The 15,607-nt window shown below is 43.3% G+C and overlaps 1 protein-coding gene and 2 pseudogenes across 11 annotated transcripts in view; 1 reads left to right on the forward strand and 2 right to left on the reverse strand.

Moving 5' to 3' along the window:
- ATP8B1 (ATPase phospholipid transporting 8B1) overlaps positions 1-15,607 on the reverse strand; it is a 156,890-nt gene that overhangs the window by 107,756 nt on the left and 33,527 nt on the right. For 3 of the 11 annotated variants that reach the window (XM_047437548.1, XM_047437541.1, XM_047437544.1), the window contains exon 1: positions 7,644-7,753. The exons of the other annotated variants lie outside the window; for them this stretch is intronic. The gene's annotated coding sequence lies outside the window, so the exon portion shown is untranslated. Of the gene's footprint in view, positions 1-7,643; positions 7,754-15,607 lie in introns of those variants that run through there. 11 annotated transcript variants of the gene reach the window in all.
- On the forward strand, positions 1,213-1,313 carry RNU6-742P (RNA, U6 small nuclear 742, pseudogene; annotated as a pseudogene).
- Positions 9,539-10,061, reverse strand: MRPS17P7 (mitochondrial ribosomal protein S17 pseudogene 7; annotated as a pseudogene).

Below are 15,607 nucleotides of genomic sequence, written 5' to 3' on the forward strand. Positions count from 1 at the left end.
AATCCTAGCACTTTGGGAGCCTGAGGCAGGTGGATCATTTGAAGTCAAGAGTTCGAGACCAGTCTGGTCAACGTGGTAAAACCCCGTCTCTACTAAAAATACAAAACTTAGCCAGGCATGGTGGCACATGCCTGTAATCCCAGCTACTCAGGAGGCTGAGGCAGGAGAATTGCTTGAACCTGGGAGGCGGAGGTTGCAGTATGCCAAGATCACACCACTGCACTCCAGCTTGGGTGACAGAGTGAGACTCTGTCTAACAAAAAAATATATATATATATATATTATGAAGTAATATTGCTGTTCCTCAGTTTATCATCTGTAAAATGAGTAAAAACAATAGCAGCTGCCTTTTACAGCTGCTGTGAGGATAAAATGATTCAATATATGGAAAGCTCTGGAATAGGGCTTGACCCAAAGGAAGGCTCAGTAAATATTAGCTGTTGTTTTTCTTATGTGAGATAATTAAATACTAGGAGAAGAAACACATCACCAAATTGACACTTCAGGGACAGCTGAGAAGTTACTACAGCCCACGCCGGGGCTCAAATTTACTTTCGTGTGTTGAATCATTAATAGCAAGGGAAATACCTAACTCGTAACCTACTGTCTCAGGCCACAGGAAAATGTCACCCTAGTAGTGAGAGAGATATTAAATATTTTACTCTACCAGCTGCTCAGAGCAAAGCAGCCTGGGGTGTATCCATTACTGCCTTTTTCAGATCTCCTGAAAGATGTCACAAACCCCAAACTCTGGAATTTAGAATATAATATGAACAAGGCAACTTAGAGTTGGTATCTTTGCATAGTGAGTAAATGTGGAATTTTTCAGAATGATAAAGTGGTTTTGTTTATGGTGTTTGTTTTTTTAAGAAATAGAAATTGTCTTTACATCTGACACCTCTGCCACAATATCCAGTGTATATCTTGCCAATAAGAGACACATTACACCAGCCAGCCTAAAATAGTCTCAGGTTGTTTACCAACAATGTGTAATTGTGCATTGGAGAACCCGGGGCTGAAAGTATTCATATATTCATGTTACACTCCCATCAGATTTGCCTTATTAAATGGTTCTAATGCTAGCATCCTACATAAATGGCAAAATTCATGCATTATATAATAACATCAACATTTGGGAAGGGAAAGATTATAACAGACACTGAATCTCTTAATTTTTTCTCTACCAAGATAAAAAAAAAAAATCCTGGACATGTGCTTGCTTCGGCAGCACATATACTAAAATTGGAATGATATAGAGAAGATTAGCATGGCCTTTGCACAAGGATGACACACAAATTCATGAAGCATTCCATTTGTAAAAATTAAAAAAAAAATTAAAAGCCTTGATAAAATGTCCTGCGGATTTGACAGTTTCACATTGACGCTTAATCAAGTTAATTCTTGATTATTTGTGTGTTTACTGACTGATGTAGTTATTATCCATGAATCCCAGGCTCTGGTCAGCTGCCTGGCTTCACATAAGTTTACACAGGCAAACTCCCAAAGGGAGCTTTTAACTTTTAACTGTTTAAAAAGCGGTTAGAGGTGATCAATATTCTAATTGTTTCCAGGCCTTGAAAACAGAGAATCCTATATTCTCTCCTGTTCTCTACAGAGTCACAGCAGTGCAATTCCAATTCAATCCAATCCCCAGCCATAACATAATTAACGGCGCAGCACTGCCAGGGACAGACAGATGAAGAGGGCTTGCACGCGCCCAGACACCAGGCTCACTGCTGAACCATTTGAGCTTAAGTTACATATAGTTCATTATCCCCCTTTACCCCTAAATACTTCAGGGGTAGTCTCTCACATTCTCTTACATAACCATAGTAGAATTATCAACTTCAGACAATTTAACATTAACATTCACAGTTATCTAATAGTCTGATTTCGTCATTGACCCAATGATGTCAGTTATAGTATTATTTTTCCTCTAGCACAGGATCCAGTCTAGAATCAGGTGTTACTTTAGGTAGCCATGTCCTTTAATCTGAAACATTTCCACAACATATATATATATATATATACACACACACACACACACACACACACATATATACACACACACATATATATATATGAAATATTTACACAACATATATATGTGTGTGTGTATGTATATATATATATATTTGAGACTGAGTTTATCTCTGTCACCCAGGCTGGAGTGCAGTGGCATGGTCTTGGCTTACTGCAACCTCCGCCTCCCGGGTTCAAGCGATTCTTGTGCTTCAGCCTCCCAAGTAGCTGGGATTACAGGCGCCTGCCACCATGCCCAGCTAATTTTTATATTTTTAGTAGAGACACGGTTTTACCATGTTGGCCAGGCTGGTCTCGAACTCCTGACCTCAGGTGATCTGCCCACCTTGGCCTCCCAAAGTGAGATTACAGGCGTGAGCCACTGTGCCCGGCCTCCACAACCTGTATTTGTCATTTACAACACTGACATTAAAAGAATATGGTATTCCTTCTCTCTCTCTCTCTCTCTTTTTAAAACTGAACCTCCCACTTTTGGGCTTTCTCTGTCATTTCCTCGTGATTTAATTCAAGGTCTCTGTTCTTGCTGGAACATCACATAGGTGATGCTGCGTCCTTTCAGATGTGACATCTGGAGGCACGTGAGGTCTCTGCCCCTTGTCGGTGATTGCATTTTGATTTTATACTTTGGTCATGTGGTCAACGTGTTGTTTGATTTCTCCACTGTATGTATTTTTTGAACTTGTAATTTGTGGGGAGACACTTTTAAGACATCGCAAATGTCCCGTTCCTTATCACAATTTCCTCCTAAACGTGACACTCATGGATGATTCTCCCCTGATCCAGTCTCTACTACAATGGCCATGAAAGGATGATTTCACAGCACCCATCCCCTCCACGCATATTGGTGAGCCTGAGCATGCCGCTGTAAGCATAGCCTCCCTACTTTCCACTTATTAGTTAGTAATCAATATGGATGTGTAAATTCCTATTTTTTCTCCAATGGCATATAATTCCTTACTGTCCATAATTATTTTGGTGTCCACATGGTCCCTGGTTTGGCCAATCAAAGCACTTTCAAGCTAGCACTGTGTCCTTGTGACAGGCTCCCATCATTCTTTCAGCATGTCCATACCTTGTGACAATAACAAGATGTTCCAGGCTCAAGTTGTACCTCTCCTGCCCCAGCCTGTAATCAGCCATTTCTCCCAGTACCCCTGGTTCCTTTGAATGGGAAATGATAATAGAGACCAAGATCTTGGCACTTGATGTGCTTGTTACTAGCGGGGTGACTTTGCTTCTTGGTCCTGGTCCTTTGATGGATAGAGCTAAGTAAAAAATGTATACACACACACACATACATATACACTTATGCACACACGCATGTACATGGGAATACTTATACATGCATGTATTTCAGAAATCAGTTCATACCTATTCTTCTGATTCCAATTGATTCCCACAATGTTCTTTTCCCCCATCTCCCATTTCCTTTCTATATGTTCCTTCTTTCTCAGTGAGAACCCTGGCTCTCCAAAACAATAACTCATTTGCTCAATGCTAAAATACATCTAAAACTGTTTCAGAGTTGCTTTGCCAGTATCACTACATAAAGTATATCGTAAGAGTTTAAAATTTCTTTGCGAGTTTCCCTCACCACCCAACTTTAGACAAGATGGAGCATATCTCATAGAATACTGTGTTCGTAGCTCCCTGGATTATTTCTTTTTCTCCCCTCTTCACTGTGGTTATGGAATTCATTTGAAATACAACTGGGTTTCTTCATTTCATGTTGCTCTCAGTTTTAGGATTTCCCCTATCCCTATTATATATATACTTATATTTAAATATAACTTAAAAAAATAGGGATGGGGGTCTCACCGTGTAGCTCAGACTGGTCTTAGGCGGGAGGATCATTTGGTCCTCAGCTCAAACGATCCTCCCACCTCAGTCTCCCGAAGTGCTGAGATTATAAGCATGAGCCACCAAGTCTGGCCCCATCCTTGATTTAAATTTATTTTTGAATATGTAGGACATTAACAGGCTCCCCAAAGCCAAAACTATGCAAAAGGGTGTCTTAGACAAGTAACCCTCCTCACATATCCCCTTCTCCTTGTTCCCACCCACCCTTTGTTGGTAATCGACTTTACTGTTTTCTGTTTATCCGTCCTGTGTGTTTTACAAAGATAAGAAGATAGGCCAGGCGCGGTGCCTCACGCCTGTAATCCTAGCACTTTGGGAGGCTGAGGCGGGTGGATCACCTGAGGTCAGGAGTTCGAGACCAGCCTGACCAACATGGAGAAACCCCGTCTCTACTAAAAAAAAAAAAATACAAAATTAGCCAGGCACAGTGGTGCATGCCTGTAATCCCAGCTACTTGGGAGGCTGAGGCAGGAGAATTGCTTGAACTCGGGAGGCAGAGGTTGTGGTGAGCCAAGATCGTGCTATTGCACTCCAGCCTGGGCAACAAGAGCAAAACTCTGTCTCAAAAAAAAAAAAAAAAAAAAAGATAGTTGTATTTTTCCTTATGTTTCCTTTTTTCTTTTACAAAAGTAGAAAATATATGTTCTTTTGCACTTAGCTTTTTTCACTTAGCAATATCTCCTATAATCACTAGAAGTCACTTCTCAGGCAACTGTTTGCAAGTAGAGAAATATTTATGTCTTATGTCTATGTATAAATCATTTTCCTGGAAAACTTAAAAGAAATCCATAGGCCGGGCATGGTAGCTCACGCCTGTAATCCCAGCACTTTGGGAGGTTGAGGCGGGAGGATCACAAGGTCAAGAGATCAAGACTATCCTGGCCAACATGGTGAAACCCCATCTCTACTAAAAATACAAAAATTATCCGGGCGTGGTGGCACGCCCCTGTAGTCCCAGCTACTTGGGAGGCTGAGGCAGGAGAATCGCTTGAACCCGGGAGGTGGAGGTTGCAATGAGCTGAGATTGTGCCACTGCACTCCAGCCTGGGCGACAGAACGAGATTCCATCTCAAAAAAAAAAAAAAAAAAAAAAAAAAAGAAATCCATAGATCCCACGATGGCTTGCTTCCCTTTCTTTCTCTGTTTTCCAAGACAGAAGTCCTCATCTACCACCCTAGGTCCTTAAAGTCTAGCTTTCCTTTAAAGACTCAACTTTAACCTAAGGGTAGCATATTACTGCAGTGAATTTATCAACCTCTAGGCGAGATATTTACAACTCCAGGGACCTTCCCTAAGCAAAATTTCAATCTAAGGTGATAGCTCCAATAGCAGCAACCAAGTAAATATTCATTGAGAATTTTTAAAAAATCACCTTGTGAACCTTTAATCCCTAACAGATAATCTGGTAACTCATGGCAAGTGGTCATCAAAGAAACCAGGAAGGGCCGGGCACGGTGGCTCACGCCTGTAATCCCAGCACTTCGGGAGGCTGAGGCGGGCGGATCACGAGGTCAGGAGATGGAGATCATCCTGGCTAACACAATGAAACCCCATCTCTACTAAAAATAAAAAAAAAAGAATTAGCCGGGCTTGGTGGCGGGCGCCTGTAGTCCCAGCTACTCTACTCGGGAGGCTGAGGCAGGAGAACGGCATGAACCCGGGAGGCGGAGCTTTCGGTGAGCAAAAATTGCGCCACTGCACTCCAGCCTGGGAGACAGAGCGAGACTCCGTCTCGGGAAAGAAAAAAAAAAAAAAAGGTATTTGGATGACTCAGAATAGGCCACCATCGCTGTTGGGAAACTCCTAGTCCTGCCCTGTGCAAACCAACTGCAGCTTAATTGTCTCTGACTGGCAATTGCTACCACCCTCCTACCATTCCCATCATGTAGGAGAGCTGCTAGGAGGTCCACTCACTTTGTCACTAGCACCCAAATTCAAAGGCACTAGAAAGAAGCTATCACTCCAAACCCTCTACATACCAGCAAGAAGGAGGTTGGTGCTGCAGTACCTGGATATTCCAAATTGGCCAATCTCTCCCAATCTCTCCAATATACAAAGATCGGGGGGAAAAAATGACTAAAAATTATCCTCCCACATAGTGATTTTAATTCCCGGTAGAAATGTAAGTGGAAGGAAGCCAAAGATGAATTCAGTACAATAATATCATGATTAACAAAGTCTTGGGATGAACATTTCATCAACACAATCACTCTGGGATAATGCCTGGGTGGATGAGATACTTGAGTAGCTTCTGCTTCTACATGTCCTAGAACCAGCAGAGGGAAAGGGCCTGTCCCTAAGACCCCTCCAGCTGGGAACAGAGCCTGCAGCCCCAGAGATGCCTGAGGAACCCCCTCTGTGGCCAGCCTATCTCCACCTTCGTCTTTGCTCTTCCACCTTCCCCAAACTGAACATGGTTTGTTTTAAGGGAAAGAGCAGCTAGTGGCTTCCACAAGATCCAGCCCAAAAGTAATGCACATTCTGGCACTTAACCCGAATCTCCTGCAACCTCTTCTCATCTTCATGAAGCTTCTGACAAGGAAATGTGGCTATACTATATCCTCCTCTTTGTTCACCAAGGTAATAAGGAAGATACTTTTTATTTTTTTATTTAAGATGGAGTTGGCCGGGCGCAGTGGCTCACGCCCATAATCCCAGCACCTTGGGAGGCCGAGGTGGGTGGATCATGAGGTCAGGAGCTGGAGACCAGCCTGACTACCATGGTGAAACCCCGTCTCTACTAAAAATACAAAAATTAGCCAGGCATGATGGCGCGCACCTGTAGTCCCAGCTACTCCAGAGGCTGAGGCAGGAGAATCGCTTGAACCCAGGAGGCAGAGGTTGCAGTGAGCCGAGATCGCACCACCGCCCTCCAGCCTGGGCAACAGAGCGAGACTCTGTCTCAAATAAAATAAAATAAAATAAAATAACATAAAATAACATAAAATAAAATAAATAAAATAAAATAACATAAAATAACATAAAATAAAATAAATAAAATAAAATAAAATAAAAAATAAAATAAAATATAAAATAAAATAAAATAAAATAAAATAAAATAAAATAAAGAAGCCCTGAACTCATAGCCTCAAGCAATCCTTCCACCTTGGCCTCCCAAAGTGCTGGGATTATAGGCGTGAGCCATTGCACCCAGACTGTGTTGTTGTTGCTATCAGGGCAACTGTGATATTTATCTTAAGAAAGTTTTAGATTCAAATGCAGTGGCCTCTCTGAAGATTCTTGAGATAAGACAAAGAGTGGGAGAGAACTATTCTCTACTCTAGCATGGCACCACGAGCAGTACGGCCTTAGCAAGTCACATCCTCACCTGGGCTCAGGTTATCATCTGTCAGTGAGGGTTCTTGACCAGATCAATGATTCTAAGATGTGGCCACACATCAGAATCCCACAGTGTGCTTTTAACAGCAATAGTTTGTTGAACCTGAACCCAATCTACTGAACCTGGAATGGGGAACAGGTAAAGTCTGTCCCTGCATTTCTCCAGAAGATGGCTGAGGTCCTTTCTGGCACTAAATCTCCTAATTCTATAGGTTTTTTTCTTTTCCTATTTTTTTTTTTAATGGACTAGGCCAGGTACAGTGGCTCACGTCTGTAATCCCAGCACTTTGGGAGGCTGAGGCGGGCGGATCACAAGGTCAAAAGATTGAGACCTTTCTGGCCAACATGGTGAAACCCCATCTCTAAAAATACAAAAATTAGCTGGGCATGGTGGTACACACCTGTAGTCCAAGCTGCTCGGGAGGCTGAGGCAGGAAAATCACTTGAACCTGGGAGGTGGAGGTTGCAGTGAGCCGAGATTGCGCCACTGCACTCCAGCCTGGTGACAGAGCAAGACTGTTAAAAAAAAAAAAAAAAAAAAAAAGGATTATTACTGAATAGTTTTAGGTTTACGGAAAAATGGAGTGGCAATCCCCACATATCCTTTCAGCCCCGTGCCTTAGTGTACGCTGTTCACATCTTGCATTAGAGTGGCACATTTGTTACAACTGATGAGCCAATAATGAGATACACACACACACACATATATATATATATATTTTTTTTTTCTTTTGAGACAGGGTCTCACTCTGTTACCCAGGCTGTAGTGCAGTAATGTGATCTCGGCTCACTGCAACCCCCATTTCCCAGGTTCAAGCGATTCTCCTGCCTCAGCCTCCTGAGTAACTGGGACTACAGGTGCCCGCCAACACGCCTGGCTAATTTTTGTATTTTCAGTAGAGACAGGGTTTCACCATGTTGGCCAGGCTGGTCTTGAACTCCTGACCTCAAGTGATCTGCCCGCGTCAGCCCCCCGAAGTGCTGAGATTACAGGTGTGAGCCAATGTGCCCGGCCCCAGTAATGACATATTGTAACTAAAGTCCCTAGTTTACATGAAGTCCACAGTTCACTAGGGTTCACTCTTTGTTGTGTGGGGTTTGGCAAATGTATAGTGACACACATGGTACCTAGTTGAAAGAATGCCCTCTTGCATTAAGTCTTACTCTCAAGAGTGGAACACACAGTAAAGGCAGAAGAGGAGAGCAATAGGCTGCTTATATCCCGTGATCCTCAAGTGATGACAAATCGAAGATATTTACAGTGAACAGTGGTGCATGTGCCCAGCACCATAAACATGAACCTACTTACTTTTTTGCTTTTTCATTGTTCCTTTTTAACACTTGGAATATCTTTCCTACAGCAATACTCTCTGTTACTTAAACTACCAAACCCATTATCTCCTGATGAAGCAATGTGCTTCCCAAACGTAGTAATTCAAGGCTGTGTCTTTACAGCCTTGAACAATCTTTTAAAAATCTGAGACATAGCAACCAGATGTTGATAGAGATTACTTCTCTTGATCCAAAGATAACTGGCACTTGGAGTTCTAAGAAAGTCAGGAGTTCAAAGAATGAGAATCTAAGTGAGGGAAAATGAACTCCTTGAACACACGTTTTTTGCACTGTTATCAAGTCATTTCTTAGGATTGATTGTCAGAATGAAATGGTTGTTAAAAAATTGTACTCTAGGCCGGGCGCGGTGGCTCATGCCTGTAATCCCAGCACTTTGGGAAGCCGAAGCGGGCAGATCACCTGAGGTCAAGGTTCGAGACCAGCCTGACCAACATGGAGAGGCCCTGTCTCTACTAAAAATACAAAATCAGCCGGGCTTGGTGGCACGTGCCTATAATCCCAGCTACTAGGGAGGCTAAGGCAGGAGATTCGCTTGAACCTGGGAGGCGGAGATTGCGGTGAGCCGAGATCGTGCCACAGCACTCCAGCCTGGGCAAGAAGAGCGAAACCCCATCTCAAAAGAAAAAAAAAAAATTGTACTCTAAAGATAGAGCTCTGTTTCCACAAATTGTATCAGAAACGAGAGGTAACATTTCAACATTTAAGCTTTCATATGCATTTATTTTTCAAATTCCAACAAACATTTTCAAGTTTGTTAGAACTAAACAGAACCTACTAGAATCAATTCTATTGATGTCATTTCTTTTAACATAGCAACTTATCACACAATAAGTACTCAATGTCTGGGTTTTAATTGACCAAGTAAGTAAATTGAAGAAAGTTTGGAAAACTTTCTCTTCCTCTGACACAATTCTTCACTGTTCTTTTTTTTGGGGGGCGGGGGGATGAAGCTTTGAAAAATTTATTTTTGCATAACATAAACATGTCAATCTTTCCCTTTAGCTCCTTCCACTCCTCCTTCAGTGTGCCGAAGAGATACTGAGTTCTTCCAGATTTTTGCTTAGCTGGGTAGTTTCTAAACTCAACAGACTCTCCAGGTAGGTAGTTCCTGCACGGGGCTTTCCTGTCACTGGATCTATGACTTTTCCAACTTTGAAAATGATCTTGGCCTGTTCATGTTTCACATGCTTCGTTCATGGGACAGGTAAAGCTCTGAGAAGCACGATATCCCCAGCTGTGCACTGCCGAAGGCCATCGTGAACAAAGGAGGTTTTCCACTTATTATAATACTTTAATAAATAGGGATCCAGAACAAGCCCGGTCACTCTCGCTTTAGCAGTCTTTTGTATTTTTGTCCCAATCACCTTCCCCACGATCCATCTGGCATGGACAGATGAACGAACGACGGACATGATGTGGCTTTGGTCACCTCCGCCATGACTGTGCAGCCACCTGCCCCAGGGAGCCTGCCTTCCTTCCTTCCTTCTTTCCTTCCTTCCTTCCTTCTTTCTTTCTTCTTTTCTTCCTTCCTTCTTTCTTTCTTTCTTTTTCTTTCTTTCTTTCTTTTTCTTTCTTTCTCTCCCTCTTTCTTTCTTTCTTTCTCTTTTTCTCTCTTTCTCTCTTTCTTTCTTTCTCTCTTTCTCTCTTTCTTTCTTTCTTTCATACCGAGTCTTGCTCTGTAGCCCAGGCTGGAGTGCAGTGGTGTGATCTCGGCTCACTGCAACCTCTGCCTCCTGGGTTCAAGTGTTTCTCCTGCCTCAGCCTCCTCAGTAGCTGTGATTACAAGCTCCTGCCACCACACCCGGCTAATTTTTGTATTTTTAGTAGAGATGGGGTTTTACCATGTTAGGCAGGCTGGTCTCAAACTCCTGGCCTCAAGTGATCCACCTGCCTCAGCCTCCCAAAATGCTAGGATTACAGGTGTGAGACACTGTGCCCAGCCTGACACTATTCTTGAATTAACTTTTCACTTTCAGTTGTCAAAAAAAAAAAAAAAAAAAAAAACAGAAAATAAGTGTTGGTGAGGCTGCAGAGGAGTTGAAACACTTTTGCACTGCCAGTGGGAATATAAAACGGTGTAGCCACTGTGGAAAACAGCATAATGGTTCCTCAAAAAATAAACATAGAATTACCATAGGATCTAGCAATCTCACTTCTGGGTATATACCCAAAAGAATTGAAGGCAGGAATCCGAGCAGATATTTATACAGTAGACCCATGTTCACAACAGTGATATTCACAAAAGCAAAGAGGTAGAAACAATCCAAATGCTATCTGATAACTGGATACACAAAATGTGGTATAGAGACAAGGAACTATCATTTGGCCTTAAAAAGGAAATCCTGGCACATGCATAAAGACATGCTAAGTAAAATAAACCAGTCACAGAAGGACACATGATGTATGATTTCACTTACATTAGGAATGCAGAGTAGGCAAATTCAGAGACAGAAAGCAGGATGATGGTTGCCAAAGGTTGGGAGGAAGGGGAGTTGTTTAATGAGTGCAGAGCTTCAGTTGGAGAAGAACTTCTGGAGGTGGATGGCGGTGATGGCTGCACAACCATGTGAATGCCCTTAAAGACACTGAAGTGTATAATTAAAAATGGTTGGGTCGGGTGCAGTGGCTCATGCCTTTAATCCCAGCACTTTGGGAGGTCAAGGCAGGCGGATCACAAGGTCAGGAGTTCGAGACCAGCCTGGTCAATATGGTGAAACCGCGTCTCTACTAAAAATACAAAAAATTAGCCAGACATAGTGGCGGGCACCTGTAGTCCCAGCTACTTAGGAGGTTAAGGCAGGAAAATTGCTTGAACCCAGGAGGTGGAGGTTGCAGTAAGCCAAGATCGCGCCACTGCACTCTAGCCTGGGTGACAGAGTGAGACTCTGTCTCAAAAGAAAAAAAAAAAAAAAGGTTAAGGTCAAGCGCATTGGCTCACACCTGTAATCCGAGCACTTTGGGAAGCTGACTGGATCATCTGAGGGCAGGAGTTAGAGACCAGTCTGGCCAACATGGTGAAACCCCGTCTTTACTAAAAATACAAAAATTAGCCGGGCATGGTGGCAGGTGCCTGTAATCTCAGCTACTCAGGAGGCTGAGGCAGGAGAATCGCTCGAACCCCGGAGGCAGAGGTTGCAGTGAGCTGAGATCATGCTATTGCACTCCAGCTGGGGCAACAAAGCAAGACTCTGTCTCAAAAAGAAAAAAAAAAATGTTAAGATGGTAGATTGTATGTTGTGTATATTTTATCACAATAATTTTTTTTTCTTTTCTTTTCTTTTTTTGAGACAGAGTTTTGCTCTTGTTGCCCAGGCTGGAGTGCAATGGTGCCATCTTGGCTCACTGCAACCTCTGCCTCCCAGATTCAAGTGATTCTCCTGCCTCAGCCTCCCAAGTAGCTGGGATTACAGGTGCCTGCCACCACGCCTGGCTGATTTTTTGTATTTTTAGTAAAGACACGGTTTCACCATATTGGCCAGGCTGGTCTCGAACTCCTGACCTCAGGTGATCCACAGGCAGGAGCCACCGAGCCCAGATAACAATAAATTTTTTTTAAGTACTCAGTTGTTCTTTATCTCCTTTGGAGAAAGGAGAAGAGATTTAAACTGATTTCAACTAAAAAATTTCCTGATCAGACAAGTTGCCAAAAGAATAACTGGAATTTCTTCTCTGACTGTGTTTCTCAAGTATCTAGCCAGGCAGTGTGCTAAAAGCTAGGGACAGTGGGAAACCAAAAATCACACATCCTACCTTAATGGGGCTAAGAGTTCAGCCCAATGGCTCTGAAACTTTAGCACATATGAAAATCCTCTGGTGGGCTTGTTGAGCACAAATTGCTAGCACCTACACTCAGGATTTCTGACTCAGGGGGACTGGGCTGGGGTCCAAGACTCTTCATTTCCATCAAGCTCCCGGGTGATGCCAGTGCTGCCGGTACAGGGACCACCCTTTAAGAAGCTCTAGGGCAGGAGGAGGGACTTGTAGGTAAAGAAGCAGTTTCAATCAAGTGTGCTGTGATGGGAATCCACCCAGTATACATACTAGGTAATGCATCCACCTGTCCTAGGAGAGGTCAAGAAAGCCTTTCCTAGAGGAGGTGTTGCAGAAATTGAGGTCTAACCTGAGACCTACAGGACATGTAGGAGTCAGACAGGTGCATGAAAGGGACAGAGCATTTCAGGTGGAGAGTGTCCGATTTGCACAGGTCTAGAGGTAAGAACAGCCTGTTCTTGAAATTGCAAATCTTTCCATGTCATGGGCAGTCAGAGAGTGATGGGGAAAGTAATGAATAAGGAAGAGAGAGGTGAGGTCTATCAAAAAGGACGTTGGAATCCTACAGTTTATCCACAGGATAAAAGGAAGCCAACCTCAGGCAGGCTTGCAGCATTCAAGAATTGAAGCTCTAAGAACTAAGGTGAGCTCATCAGCTCCGGGAGAAGGCATAGGTCCAGTAGAGTCGCAGACTAAGCAGGTGGGGAAGGGGGCAGTTGTACATGCCCCTCTAATTCTCGCATCATCTCACACAACCCAAGCTCCATTTCCTCAGAAAGCCTTCTGCTGCTCAGGTAAGAAAAACCCAAGGCCATTGTGCCATCCAGTACAGTGGCCACGAGCCATGTGTGGCTATTAAATTAGCTAAAATTAGAAGCCAGATCAGCAGTTGCACTAGCCTCATTTCAAGTGTTCAACAGCCACCTGTGACTAGGGGCTAGAAACAGGAACGCTTTTGGGCCAGGCTCGGTGGCTCATGCCTGTAATGCCAGCACTTGGGGAGGGCGAGGTGGGTGGATCACCTAAGGTCAGGAGTTCGAGACCAGCCTCGCTAACATGGTGAAACCTTGTTTCTACTAAAATAACAAAAAATTAACCAGGCTTGGTGGTGCGCGCCTGTAATCTCAGCTACTCAGGAGGCTGAGGCAGGAGAATCGCTTGAACCCAGGAGGCAGAGGTTGCAGTGAGCCAAGATCGTGCCATTGCACTCCAGCTTGGGCAACGAGAGCAAAACTCCATCTAAAAAAAAAAAAAGCAGAACACTTTCATCATCCCAGAAAGTTCCCTAAGCCAGCACTGGTCCAGGAAATGAAGTATAAGCAGGATTAGATCTAAGACTTGCCAGGCATTTTGGTTTTACTGCCTGAAGCCAGCAAGCAACTGGTTTGGGTCTTCACTCATGAAAACACACACACATACAAATATATACACAGAGAGCTCTAAATTGATTTTTAAAAAATCTATAGGGTATAAAGCAAGACAATTAACAATTATACATTATATACAGTCTACAAATATCCTAGATATCACTTTTATAATGAGATATAAGGAATTCTGGCTGGGAGCAGTGGCTCACGCCTGTAATCCCAGCATTTTGGGAGGCTGAGGCAGGCAGATCACCTGCAGTCAGGAGTTCGAGACCAGCCTTGCCAACATAGTGAAACCCCATCTCTACTAAGAGATACAAAAATTAGCCAGGTGTGGTGGGGGGCACCTGTAGTCCCAGCTACTGGGGAGGCTGAGGCAGGAAAATTGCTTGAACCCAGGAGGCGGAGGTTGCAGTGAGCAAAGATCATGCCACTGTACTCCAGCCTGGGCAACAGAGTGAGACCCTGTCTCAAAAAAAAAAAAAAAAAAAAAAAAGAAAAGAAAAGAAAAGAAAAAAAAGAATTTTCTTAAGCTACTAAGAAGAATCCTAGAATCATACCTATTCTCCAAAGCCATCTGTAAATCCTAAAAATAACCAGTCAAGGGAATTGAGGGAGGAAAACATAGTCCAGATTAGAATTCTAAAAGGCCATTTTTACTGTTTACATGCCAAAAAAAAAAAAAAAAAGCTAAGCTTTTAAAGCTTTCTCTATTGTGTATTTTACCAAAGTCAGTATGAAGGATTCAAAATATTACATAGCTAATCCTTACTCCAAGTTCTAAAAATAAAATGCAAGAGACGGTTGCATGCCAAGTTGGTAACAAATCCCTATGCCAAGGATAGAAGTGGAAATTGATGCAAGGAGGAAATGAGTTATGCTGTAAAATGAAACACACACCCAAGAGAAAGGCTTAACCCTTGGGCTGACCATAGCAGCAAACACTGTAACCAGTTAAAAAGTCCAAGAAGCCAGAGGTAGATGATAATTCTACAAATTCAGAGATGTTCTTGTTTTCCCAGCTGCTCCACAAGGACTTTACCAGCCTAGATAAACAGAGCCCGCCTTCCACTTTCCATGAAGGATCAGGTGGGCAGCTTCCCAGTGAGTAAGGTGGGTGGCTGAGTATCCTTATCTTGATGGTGAGTGACAGGTGGCTTTGGGAAGTGTACTCAGACAGGACAGCTTCCTTGCTCAACCGTGGTCTGACCCAGGCATATTAAGGGGAGGACCAGCTCAGAAAGAAAGCAGAGCCAAGTGTATGCATTGCGCAAAACCTCTGATGGCCAGGAAGGCCTGGCCGCCATTCCCTAGAGCCACGCATTCTGCCTGCCCCACGACTCTTCCATCCTCAGAGCCGTATTTCCTCCTGGGCCTGCCCTGCCAGATCTGATTGGCTCCCTTCTCCCTGCTCTGCTATTAAATGCCTTCCTTGGGTTCAAATAAAGCTAGTTTCTCTAGAGCCTTTCTAGGTATGCCCGTGCGCCTTCCCACTCCAAACCCACTGTGAATGGAAGACCATTCATTCACCAATTCCTCATTTAGTTAAAAATCAAGACCCACCAGCAAGAAACTCAGTGCAAGGCTCCTTGGAGGTGCTGGGGTAAAGCAAGAAACTGCTAGTACTTCATTAAGCCAGTAGGCAACTGGTTTGAGCCTTAATTCATGAAAACACACACACTTCACTCTAAATTGATTTTTAAAATATCATAAATGCCATCGGACTATCTCAAATGGCAAGAAACGGCCAAAGATGACTCCAGAGTAGATAATTGAAATGGATGTGGGGAAAGTAAGCTCATTCAGGAGCACTGAGCCTGGGGCATCCCAAATGCACAGCAAATAGTAGATCTGATCGAAGAACTTTTATTTGT

The sequence above is a fragment of the Homo sapiens genome, chromosome 18, assembly GCF_000001405.40.
Source record: "Homo sapiens chromosome 18, GRCh38.p14 Primary Assembly".
Taxonomy (NCBI): Eukaryota; Metazoa; Chordata; class Mammalia; order Primates; family Hominidae; genus Homo; species Homo sapiens.